At 43.1% G+C, this 12144-nt stretch overlaps 1 protein-coding gene and 1 long non-coding RNA gene across 4 annotated transcripts in view, besides 2 other annotated features; one reads left to right on the top strand and one right to left on the bottom strand.

The window, feature by feature from the left end:
* HAT1 (histone acetyltransferase 1) overlaps positions 1-6630 on the bottom strand; it is a 61226-nt gene extending 54596 nt beyond the window's left edge. For 2 of the 3 annotated variants that reach the window (NR_027862.2, NM_003642.4), the window contains exons 1-2: positions 6584-6630; positions 3450-3554 (exon numbers count right to left, since the gene is read on the bottom strand). Coding sequence is in view for 2 of the 3 variants with exons in the window: in NM_003642.4 (NP_003633.2) it covers positions 3450-3554; positions 6584-6590 (112 nt within the window). In the remaining variant the exon portion in view is untranslated. Of the gene's footprint in view, positions 1-3449; positions 3555-5973; positions 6170-6583 lie in introns of all 3 variants that reach the window. The other variant, XM_006712808.4, reaches the window with a different exon arrangement.
* Positions 6356-6405: an enhancer, noted in NCBI's record as "active region_16760". NCBI's record gives its function as "activates an Ori minimal core promoter by ATAC-STARR-seq in GM12878 lymphoblastoid cells {active_cell/tissue: GM12878}" and the evidence as "EXISTENCE:reporter gene assay evidence [ECO:0000049][PMID:35858748]".
* Positions 6546-7194: an enhancer, noted in NCBI's record as "H3K27ac-H3K4me1 hESC enhancer chr2:172778407-172779055 (GRCh37/hg19 assembly coordinates)". NCBI's record gives its function as "activates a minimal SCP1, AML or CMV promoter by ChIP-STARR-seq in naive H9 embryonic stem cells {active_cell/tissue: H9 hESC(naive)}" and the evidence as "EXISTENCE:reporter gene assay evidence [ECO:0000049][PMID:30033119]".
* LOC105373740 (uncharacterized) lies at positions 6702-12142 on the top strand. Its single transcript, XR_923579.2, has 3 exons — positions 6702-7052; positions 7860-8011; positions 12048-12142. It is a non-coding gene; the product is annotated as an uncharacterized LOC105373740 (long non-coding RNA).
* Positions 12143-12144: the final 2 nt, after the last annotated feature.

Here is a 12144-nt window from a genome sequence, read left to right as displayed (position 1 = left end):
TTGGTGAGGATATGGAATAACGAAAATTCTAATACACTGTTGATGTGAGTATAAAAGTACTTTGGAAGTCAGTCTGGCCAAGTATCCCATAAAGTTAAACATACAAATACCCTATTGACCCAGCAAATCCACAGCTAGGAATTTATCCAAAATAAAATCATATGTCCACAAAAAAACTCATACAATAACAGCCAAAAACTAGAAACAACTCAAATATCTATTAACTGGCGAATAATGATGTATCCAACAACAGAACAGTATTCAGCAATAAAAAGGAATGAACTGCCGGGCACGGTGGCTCACGCCTGTAATCCCAGCACTTTGGGAGGCCAAGGCAGGCGATCATGAAGCCAGGAGTTCGAGACCAGCCTGGCCAACATAGTGAAACTCCGTCTCTCCTAAAAATACAAAAGAATTAGCCAGGCGTGGTGGCAGGCGCCTGTAATCCCAGCTACTCCAGAGGCTGAGGCAGGAGAATCGCTTGAACCCAGAAGGTGGAGATCGCATTGAGCCGCAATCATGCCACTGCACTCCAGCCCAAGCAACAGCGTGAGACTCTGTCTCAAACAACAACAACAAAAAAAATGGGGAATGAACTACTGGTACAGACAACATATGATGTACCTCATAAAAATTATGCTTAATGAAACAAGCCAGTCACAAAGCCAGTATATATGGTATAATTCCATTTATATAAAGTGCTAGAACACAGAAAGCTAATTTTGGTCAAAGAAATGAGACTGTAGTCACCTTGCAGGTGGCAGGGACTGAACAGTAAGTAATAAAGTTCTATCTACTAAGCCTGCTCTCATTAATGCTAGAGCAATACTAACAGCAATGTGTTCACCTAGCACCTAGATCTTGGCTTTAGCACCCGAATCTTGGCTTTAAAATATCATTTCCTGTGGCTGGGGGTGGTGGCTCATGCCTGTAATCCCAGCACTTTGGGAGGCCAAGGTGGGCAGATCACCTGAGGTCAGGAGTTCGAGACCAGTCTGGCCAACATGATGAAACCGTCTCTACTAAAAATACAAAAATCAGCTGGGTGTGGTGACGGGTGCCTGTAATCCCAGCTACTTGGGAGGCTGAGGCACCAGAATCACTTAAACCCAGGAGGCAGAGGTTTCAGTGAGCCAAGACCGCGTCATTGCACTCCAGCCTGGGTGACAAGAGTGAGACTCCATCTCAAAATAAAAAACCATTTCCTGGCTGGGTGCAGTAGCTCATGCCTGTAATTCCAGCACTTTGGGAGACCGAGGCAGGTGGATCACTTGGTCAGTTTGAGACAGACTGACCAACATGGCGAAACCCTATCTCTACTAAAAACACAAAAAAATTACCCAGGGCTGGTGGCACATGCCTGTAATCCCAGCTACTACGGAGGCTGAGGCACAAGAATTACTTGAATCTGGGAGGCAGAGGTTGCAGTGAACCAAGATCGCACCACTGCACTCTACCTGGGCGACTGAGTGAGACTCTGTCTCTAAAATAAAATAAAATAACATTTCCTACTAAAAGAAACCAGGGATCCTTGGAGAAATGGCTGATTCCAAGGCTGGGGCAGAGACAACAGATGACAGGATGTTCCAAGGTAATCAAACTATCAAAGAATGAAGTAATTGAAAAATGAGGGGACATGTAAAAAAAATACGCAGATCTCAGCAACCACATCCAGTCACTCCACTCAGCCCTTACCAAGTATTTTCTGCATGTCAAGGAGTTTAAACACTTTACTGATATTTAACTCCATATTTAATCTTTGTAACCACTGTGAAGTACTATTAACAATGAGGAAACTCAGGCATGGAAAGTAATGCAACCAGGAATCATGAGCATATATTATTTTTCACTTGTTCTAAGTGTAAAATTTTAGCAAATTCAGAGCTGTGCCACAATCTAACTTTCAAACATTTCCATAATTCCCAAAAGAAATGTCAGGCCCATTTGTAGTTACTCTGCGCTCCACTGTGCAACCACTACTTTCTGTCTCTATGGATGTGTCTTTTCTGAACATTTCATACAAATGGAATTACACAATATATGGTGTTTTTGTTTAGTTTCTTTCACTTAGCACAATCTTTTTAAGGTTTACTGCAATAGGTATCAGAATTTCATTCCTTCTTATTGTCAAATAGTATTCCGTGGTATAGCTATACTATACTTTATTCATTTACCAGCTGATATATATCTGGGTTTCTTACATTTTTTTGGCTACTGTGAATAACGCAGCTATGAACATTCATGTACAAGTTTTTGCGTGAACATACATTTTCATTTCTCTTGAGTAGACAGATACCTGGCAGTATAACTCCTGGGTCATATAATTCATTTATGTTTAACTTCTTAAGAAACTGTCAAACCAGGAGGGGCGCTGTGGCTCACAGTTATAATCCCAACACTTTGGGAGGCCAAGCCAGGGGACTGCTTGAAGACAAGAGTTCAAGATGAGCCTGGACACATAGACACGTAGGGTCCATCTCTATGAAAAAATTTTTATAAGCCAGGCGTGGTGGCTCATGCCTGTAATCCCAGCACTTTGGGAGGCCAAGGTGGGCAGATCACCAGAGGTTGGGAGTTCAAGACCAGCCTGACCAACATGGAGAAACCGTCTCTACTAAAAATACAAAAAATTAGCCGGGCGTGGTGGCGCATGCCTGTAATCCCAGCTACACGGGAGGCTGAGGCAGGAGAATCACTAGAACCCAGGAGGTGGAGGTTGCAGTGAGCCAGGATCACGCCATTGCACTCCAGCCTGGGCAACAAGAGTGAAACTCCGTCTCAAAAAAAAAATTTTTTATAAAAATTAGCCAGGCTTGGGTGGTGCACACCTGTGGTCTCCTAGCTACCTGGCAGGCTGAGGCAGAAGGACTGCCTGAGCCCAGGGGTTGGAGGCAGCAGTGAGCTATGACCATGCCGTGGCACTACAGCCTGGGTGATAGAGTGAGACCTTCCTTGTCTCTTTAAAAAAGAAAGAAAGAAAAAAAAGGGGTGAGGGGAGGAAATGAAAGAAGAGAAGGAAGGAAAGAAAATAAAAAAGACAGAAAAGAAAATTGCCAAACTGTTTTCCAAAATAGTTATATCACTTTACATTCCCACCAGCAATATACAAGTGTTTTTTTCCACATCCTCACCAATATTTGCTATTGTTTATTATTCTTACAGGCAAAAAAGTAAAAAATATTTTTAAGAGGCTAAAACTATATATACTTATTACTTTTTGCCCCACCGTCTTTCCTTTTTATATAAAATTCTGTCACCTTTCAAACATCTACACCTTCCATGACATAAATCAAAACTGAATAAAATCTGAATATGTTCAATAAATGCAGAAAACCATACATTTGCATAAATAACTGCTCTTACATAAAATTTTACTTCAAATTTAAAATGAAAGATTATATATACACACACAGTATGTACATAACATCACTTAGAAATGGCATACATACCTAATTTTAGTTCAATTGCTGTGTTGGTGTTACATTTGTACTCTGCCAGTTTCTTCTCCACTGCACTCTTATATTCTACCAAAAATTTCTCCATAGCACCAAATCCTAAGAGAAAAGGTTTTTAAAAGGTTTAGTTTGGAAGTGACTTAAATTGTCAAACCTGCAATAGGGTTATTATAAGTGGAATAGGGGTATGATTTAAAACATGCTGATAGATCATAAAAGCACAAGTCATTCTCCACATACTCTTAAATAAATGTATTAAGAATGCCAGCTGGGCACGGTGGCTCACGCCTGTAATCCCAGCACTCTGGGAGGCTGAGGTGGGTGGATCACAAGGTCAGGAGTTCGAGGTCAGCCTCGCCAAGATGGTGAAACCCGTCTCTACTAAAAATACAAAAATTAGCCGGGCACGGTGACGGGCGCCTGTAATCCCAGCTACTTGGGAGGCTGAGGCAGGAGAATCTCTTGAACCCAGGAGGCAGAGGGTGCAGTGAGCCGAGATCATGCCACTGCCCTCTAGCCTGGGCGACAGAGCAAGACTCCATCTCAAAAAAAAAAAAAAAAAAAAAGAATGCCTCATTACAAAACAGAAAAAGAAATCACTTTTGAGATACAGGCTTATAAACTAGGAATACTTAATATAAATGAATAAACCTGAAAATTAACATGATAGATTACTAACATTTCTGAACATGTACTAATACAAATTACCTGCTAGGATTTATACCTAAGTCGTCTTTTTCATTATAAGATGTAAAAAGCAAAATGAGAATGTCCTCTGATAATTATGACAGAATTTCATTTTAAGTATTGGAAAAAGTCTACCAGAGTGCTTCAGATAAGGAAATGATAATGCATGGAATGTCTCAAGAAGAATACACAAATATCTGGTAACCATAGTTACCATGGGTAAAGAAAGAAGGAAGAGGAACAGGGGCACAAAGAAAACATCTTTCCACTGTATTAAATATTTAAAAATCATGTATGCCTAAAGTCATAAACTGTGAGCTACTGGCACAATAGTTTTACTACATAGTGGCTACTCAATAATATACATAATAAATAACATTGGAAGATATCACTATCAAGAGAAACTTTCAAGATAACAAATCTCCTGACAAAATGGGCATATGATTAGTAAAAATGGGCTGGGCGCGGTGGCTCACGCCTGTAATTTCAGCACTTTGGGAGGCCGAGGCAGGGGGATCGCGAGGTCGAGACGGATATCATCCTGGCCAACATGGTGAAACCCCATCTCCACTAAAAATACAAAAATTAGCTGGACGTGGTGGCGCGTGACTGTAGTCCTAGCTACTCCGGAGGCTGAGGCAGAATTGCTTGAATCCAGAAGGCAAAGGTTGCCGAGATCGCGCCACTGCACTCCAGCCTGGTGACAGAGCGAGACTCAGTCTCCAAAAAAAAAAAAAATCAGTAAAAATTCAGACAGAAAAAAGCCATAAGCAAAAAATAAAAAGGGGTACAATGATGTGCTATAAACTTCAAAAAGGGGTTAAAACACACACACAGAAAATGGGAAAGACTTGAAGCAGTACAGATTAATAGTCTGGAGTGAGAATTCCTGGATTCTGACTATTTCACACACTTACTGAGCTAGTAAGCTCAGGGAACTAGAGCACATTACTTAACCCCTCTGACCCTAATCTACAGAACCGAGATTACAGAATTTACTTCGAGGAATGTAAGCAACAAAATTTAACCTGTGAAATCATATATTAGCTCAATCTGCACAATTCTATAAGTAGGTATTACATCAACCCCATTTTACATTCAAAAGTTCAGGCTTAGAAAGAGGTTTAGTTGAAGGGCATCCAACTACTAAATGATGGGCCCAAAATTCGAATTTAGATGTAATTCTTAGAGTACGTCCTCCCTCTTCTGTGGTACTTCAAGATCCTACAATCTCCATCTGGTAGAAAAGTCCTTCTTTAAACATCTGTAGAGCTCACACAACAGCTTGTCTATCCCACATATTCATAAAAATGGAATGGTTAATGTAGAGAGACTATGAGGAATGCCCTGTAAAGAGATGATAAAAGCAACAAAGGCCAGCGAAGTGGCTCAATCCTGTCATTCCAACACTTTGGGAAGCTGAGGCGAGAGGATGGCTTGAGGCCAAGAGTTCCAGACCGGCCTGAGGCAATACAGCCAGACTCTGTCTCTAAAAGGTTAAAAAAAATTGTTTTTTTTTAGCCGAATGTTGTGGCGCATGCCTGTAGTCCTAGCTACTCGGGAGGCTGAGGCAAGAGGATCGCTTGAGCCTACGAGGAGTTGGAAGCTGCCCGGAACTATGATCGCTGCACTCCAGCCTGGGCGACAGAGAGACCCTGTCTCAGGAAAAAGAAACTGTCCATAACTTCAAAAGATAAGTAATCGAAAAAAATAATCACACCAAAACAGCCTTAATACACGTACAAAGTAATAGCAATTATACATTATTAAATGTTGTAACTTGAAGGGTCTCTAGAATGTACACAAGAGAATTGTATTATAGTAGTCCAACCCTAAAAGAGAAGGGAGCAGTTCAGGAACAAAGTCTTTCTCAAAGGGCATCTAAATACGATCCTCGGAATACTAAAGTGTGACAGATTAACGAGACGACTACGAAGTCAGTCGAGATCCAAGTGGGAGCGCCAGAGCAGGGCAAGGCAGCAATGCGCTAGCTCAGAAGTTGACTGTAGTGGAAGGTAGACGGAGACCTGGAAGAGGAGGAGGATCTGAGCATTAAAATCAGCTGGCGGGAACAGGACCAGATGTACAAGAGCTGAAGCAAGCAGCAGTGGACAAAAGGAATGGGAAGAGAAACAGGCCCCAAGGCATGTGGCATTTTACGAGCCCAAATCATGACGCTTTTCCCTGGCGTCTTCGGCCCTCGGTAGGGGCCGGATTGCTGGCAGAAGGCGCAGAACCCCAAGCAGTTGGGGGCGGGGGCGCGGACCGCCGCCAACAAGGAGCTGCTGGGCTGAGAGTTCCGCGCTTCCGGTCCCAAGCAGGCCTTCTGGAACCCAGGCTACAGCCCGAAAGTTCTAGGCGGGCATTGTCACCACCGTCTCGGCGTTCTATCCCCGATCTGGCCGCCTCCTCCCCTTGGTAAACTTTTCCCGGTAACTTACCCGCCATTTCCGAGCTACGATCACCCGCGGCTGAGGAAGGACGAATCAACCCGCGCGCTCCCGGGCCGGAAGTGACCGCACAGTCTGACATATTTTCCCCGCCCACTCCCAGCGTGACGTTAGCCAATTAAAGGAGGCGTGTCCAGGAGCCCGGCGGCGGAAGCGCCTCAAGAGGCGGGGCTAACGCCGAGAAGTCTGCGCGGGCCGTTGCCTAGCCACTGCGAATGCCGTCAGCCGCTTTGCAGGCCTGAAGTGGAGAAGGAGGCCGCAAACGGACTTTCGCGGTTGAGATGCTCTCTGGCCCTAGGAAAGTTTCTCTGGGGTTGATTTGATCAATACAGACACTTTACGCCTGTTTTCCATACCCGTCCCTGAGATGTTTTGGAGACTGGCTGAAAATCTTTCCTCTTGGCCTGGACAGTGCATCCAAACACCTGAGCCCTGTGGGCAATTTTACCATTTTACCTAGGTAAAATGTAGAGGTTGAGTTTCAGTTGCGGGAGAAGCTTTCACTTGTTTTCCTCATTTGTTTCTCATTTTGCTGTAAACTTTAACACCTTTTTTCCTTTCTCCCCTGTTTTTAACGTATACAGTATGATATTTAGGTACTCTGCTTTCACTCTGCAGGTTACTAAGAACCGTTTAGCGCGCAAAAATCGTTACCTAGGCCGGGCGCGGTGGCTCACGCCTATAATCCCAGCACTTTGGGAGGCCGAGGCGGGTAGATTGCCTGAGCTCAGGAGTTCGAGACCAGTGTAGCCAACATAGTGAAACCCCGTCTCTACTAAAAATACAAAAATTAGCCAGGCATGGTGGCAGGCGCCTGTAATCCCAGCTACTCGGGAGGCTGAGGCAGGAGAATCGCTTGAACCCTGGAGGCGAAAGTTGCAGTGAGCCGAGATTGCGCCACTACACTCCAGCCTGGGCAACAGAGTGAGACTCCGTCTCAAAAAAAAAAAAAAATTGTTACCTAATAAATACCTCAAGTAGCCTGATGTAGTCTTGCATGCCACATGTCCTAGTGGTTTGAATTACATCACAAGGTGCTACCTGATTTTAGCCATAGGCCTTGTTAGTATTTAGTAGCTGTAGGAACTGCTTTCCCCAGAGGATAAACCACTATTTAGGTATCCACAAATATTCCCACAATGTTGGCTATACACCAGAATTCCTTATCTCAACAAATATTTGTTAACAGGTTTTACAGTGATGCACGCTAAAGCTAAAATGGACCCTTGGGATGATGGTCTAGAACTAACACGCCCTCTCATTTTAGAGATGAGGAAACCAAAGCCCAGAAAAGATAAACTGCCCAAGTTCATTCTCAGTATGCAACCTATGCAGAGTGCAGTTCATCAGATACTCAGCCCAGTATTTATTTGCTCAACTATATAGAGATGGCTTTCCTGAAGATAAAGATCAGAAAAGGTACTGAGAATGCCCAGATCCTTTTTCTTTCTTTTTTTTTTTTTTTTTTTTAGACGGAGTTTCACTCTTGTTGCCCAGGCTGGAGTGCAATGGCACAATCTCAGCTCACCACAGCCTCCGCCTCCCGGGTTCAAGCGATTCTTCTGCCTCAGCCTCCTGAGTCGCTGGGATTACAGGCATGCGCCACCACACCCAGCAATTTTGTATTTTTGTAGAGACGGGGTTTCTCCATGTTGGTTAGGCTGATCTCGAACTCCCAACCTCAGATGATCTGCCCATCTCGGCCTCCAAAAGTGCTGGGATTACAGTCGTGATCCCAAGAAAAGGTTTCAAGATCCTTTTTCTTGAAACCTAATGATACACAAGAAATTACAGTCATAGGCCGGGCGTGGTGGCTCACGCCTGTAATCCCAGCACTTTGTGATGCCGAGGCGGGCGGATCACGAGATCAGGAGATCCAGACCATCCTGACTAACATGGTGAAACCCTGTCTCTACTAAAAATACAAAAAAAGTAGCCGGGCGTGGTAGCGGGTGCCTGCAGTCCCAGCTACTCAGGAGGCTGAGGCAGGAGAATGGCGTGAACCTGGAAGGCGGAGCTTGCAGTGAGCCGAGATCCCGCCACTGCACTCCAGCCTGGGCAAGAGCGAGACCCCGTCTCAAAAAAAAAAAAAGAAATTACAGTCATAATGTTAAGACAGAAAACTGAAATCAATGAGACTAATGACATTATGGATCAAAAAAGGAAAACAATCTTTTTCTTTAATAATCATTTTTGGCTAGGCACGGTGGCTCACACCTGTAATCCCAGCACTTGGGAGGCCAAGGCAGGCAGATCACCTGAGGTCAGGAGTTTGAGACCAGCCTGGCCAACATGGTAAAACCCTGTCTCTACTAAAAAGTACAATAAATTAACCAGGCGTGGTGACATGAGCCTGTAATCTCAACTACTTGGGAGGCTGAGGCAGTAGAATCGCTTGAACCCAGGAGGCGGAGGTTGCAGTGAGCTGAGATAGTGCCACTGCACTCCAGCCTGCTCAAGAGAGCGAGACTCCATCTCAAAAAAAAAAAAAAACTTTTCTTTTCAAAATGGCAAGACTTATCATTTCTTTCCAAAATCACCTTATCTATGGATCAATTGCTGACCAGCAATTATGATCTTTATAAGTAAGAAATCAAGAAGAATTACGTTTTAACTGTGGTATATCACAGATTATTAGTCCTGTGATATTATGGTTAGTTGTAGGAAAAAAATATGATGAAACTTACTGATATATTGTATGACTAGCATTTAATGTGATTTGCTTGCAGAATTGAGGTTTTATATTGTCCTCGTCTTAGATGTTCACTTTTTTTTTTTTTTTTTTTTTTGAGACAGGGTCTCACTCTCACCCAGGCTGGATTGCAATGATGCAATCATAGCTCACTACAGCCTCCAGCCTCCAACTGCTGGGCTCAAAAGATCCTCCTGCCTCTCAGCCTCCCAAATAGCCAGGACTACAAATGTGTGCCATTGTGCACAGCTAATTTTTTTGTTTTTTGTAGAAATGGAGTCTCAGTATGTTGCCCAGGCTGGTCCCAAACTCCTGGCCTCAAGCAATCCTCTCAGCTTGGCCTCCCGGAATGCTAGGATAATAGGTGTGAGCCACCATGTCCATCCTCACATTTTTTTTTTTTAATGTTACAGAATAGATGTTTTGGTACAGTTTACCTAAAAGATAAAAGAATGACTTATTTTGGAAAGGTAATGTGAAAATTACCCAAAAGGAAAAAAATTCTCTTTTTTTTTGTAGGGATTTCTTTCCTTTTTTAACTTATATTTTACTTTGTTCTAAAGAGAATTTAAGAAAGCAACTATTACAATCATGGAATAAAATTTCTATGAAAGGAATATGCTATCCTCATATATATATGGAAGAGACAACATATCTTGTGGGAAGTTTACTGCCCTACTAGTCCCAGTTCTACTACTTCATGCTTGTTCAACCTTGTTGCATCTATTAAGTGGAGATAATAGTACTGCCCAGTCACCACACTGGGTTGCTGTAAAAACTAAACGGAATAATATTTGTGAACGACCTTTGTAAACTCTAAAACTCTATGCAGGTATGAAGTGGTATTACTATGATAACATTTATTCTAGTAAGGGAGATTTGGAAAAGGCATTTTCTTCAGAGAAAAGGGCCATATTACACTATTAGGTATGAACTGGCAACCATGTGTTGGTACAGGCTCAAGTTCATATGGACTGATAAACTTCACTATCTTGCTTTGAAACCTCCAGAATGGATTAAAATTTGGCACAAAAAAATATGGTCATCGGGCCGGGCGCAGTGGCTCATGCCTGTAATCCCAGCACTTTGGGAGGCCGAGGCAGGCAGATCACGAGGTTAGGAGATCGACAGCATCCTGGCTAACACGGTGAAACCCCGTCTCTACTAAAAACACAAAAAATTAGCCAGGCGTGGTGGCGGGCGCCTGTAGTCCCAGCTACTTGGGAGGCTGAGGCAGGAGAATGGCATGCACCCAGGAGGCGGAGCTTGCAGTGAGCCGAGATCATGCCACTGTACTCCAGCCTGGGAGACAGACTCCGTCTCAAAATATATATATATATATATGGTCATCAGAAAATTGATGCAGGAAATCAATTTTAAGAAAAATGCATGTATGTAATGTGTCTTCATTTCAAAATGCATACCTTTACACAGACAAATAACAGTAGTTAGTTAGCTCATTTTTTTAGCTCGTAGTGCTAATGAGCATAAAGTTATGAGTCTCAGTTCCCAGAGCAATTATCCAGAAACCATTATCCAGCTAGATGACTTCCAAATGGGATACAAGAAAGAAAATAGGCTGGGCGCGGTGGCTCACGTCTGTGATCCCAGCACTTTGGGAGGCCGAGGCAGGCAAATCACATGAAGTCAGGAGTTCGAGACCAGCCTGGCCAACATGGTGAAACTCCATCTCTACTGAAAATACAAAAATTAACCGGGTGTGGTGGCATACACCCGTAATTCCAGCTACTCAGGAGGCTGAGGCAGGAGAATTGCTTGAGCCCGGGAGACGGAGGTTGCAGTGAGCCGAGATCCCGCCATTGCACTCCAGCCTGGGCGACAGAGCGAGTCTGTCTCAAGAAAAAAAAAAAAAGGAAAGAAAGAAAATAAAAATGGACCGGCTCATGTTGAAAACTACTGTAAGAGGACCCCTATCCTAAATACACAAAAATTACCAACAGTCTTTATTTTCCAACTCTAATGTACTACCCATACGTGTATAAATTAGTAACTTTTGAGGGGCAATTTAGAAATTTTAACACATTTTTACAAATGTAACAAAATTTTCAATTTGTGTATCCTTTGAGGCAACAACAGTTCCACTTTTAAGCATTTGTACTGCAAAACTATTTCACAGAAATGCAAAGATACACTAAAACAAAGATGTTCAATGCTGTATTATTTTCACTGGCAAGTTGAAAATAGCCTAAACTACTAGCACAAGGGGCTGGCTAATATGTTCTATCTCCTATACAATAGGCTAAAAAATAAATTACAAAAAATATAATGTTATTTCATTTATATAAAAATATATTTTGATATAAACAGAAAACATCTGAAAGCATACCTCACAAACTTAACTATAGTTGCCTTTAGGGGGAATTTAGAGATGGGGATTAATGAGGTTTTTTGTTTTTGTTTTTGTTTTGGAGACAGAGTCTGCCCAGGCTGGAGTGTAGTGGCATGATCTCGGCTCACTGCAATCTCCACCTCCTAGGTTCAAGCAATTCTCCTGCCTTAGCCTCCCGAGTAGCTGGGGCTACAGTGAGCATCCGCCACCACACCCAGCTAATTTTTGTAATTTTAGGGTTTCACCATGTTGGCCAGGCTGTTCTGGAACTCCTGACCTCAAGTGATCTGCCTCCTTGGCCTCCCAAAGTGCTGGGATTATAGGCGTGAGCCACCGCGCCCAGCCTAATGAGTTTTTTTATTCTTTAATACCATTTGTCTCTTTCAATGATGATGTATTGGTTTCTTTCACAGTTAGAAACTTATCCATCTGGCTGCGCGTGGTGGCTCACACCTATAATCCCAGCACTTTGGGAGGCCAAGGTGGGCAGATCGCCTGAGGTCCGGAGTT

The sequence above is a fragment of the Homo sapiens genome, chromosome 2 (assembly GCF_000001405.40).
Source record: "Homo sapiens chromosome 2, GRCh38.p14 Primary Assembly".
In the NCBI taxonomy this organism is placed as follows: domain Eukaryota; kingdom Metazoa; phylum Chordata; class Mammalia; order Primates; family Hominidae; genus Homo; species Homo sapiens.
This window is presented reverse-complemented; position numbering and strand designations above follow the sequence as displayed.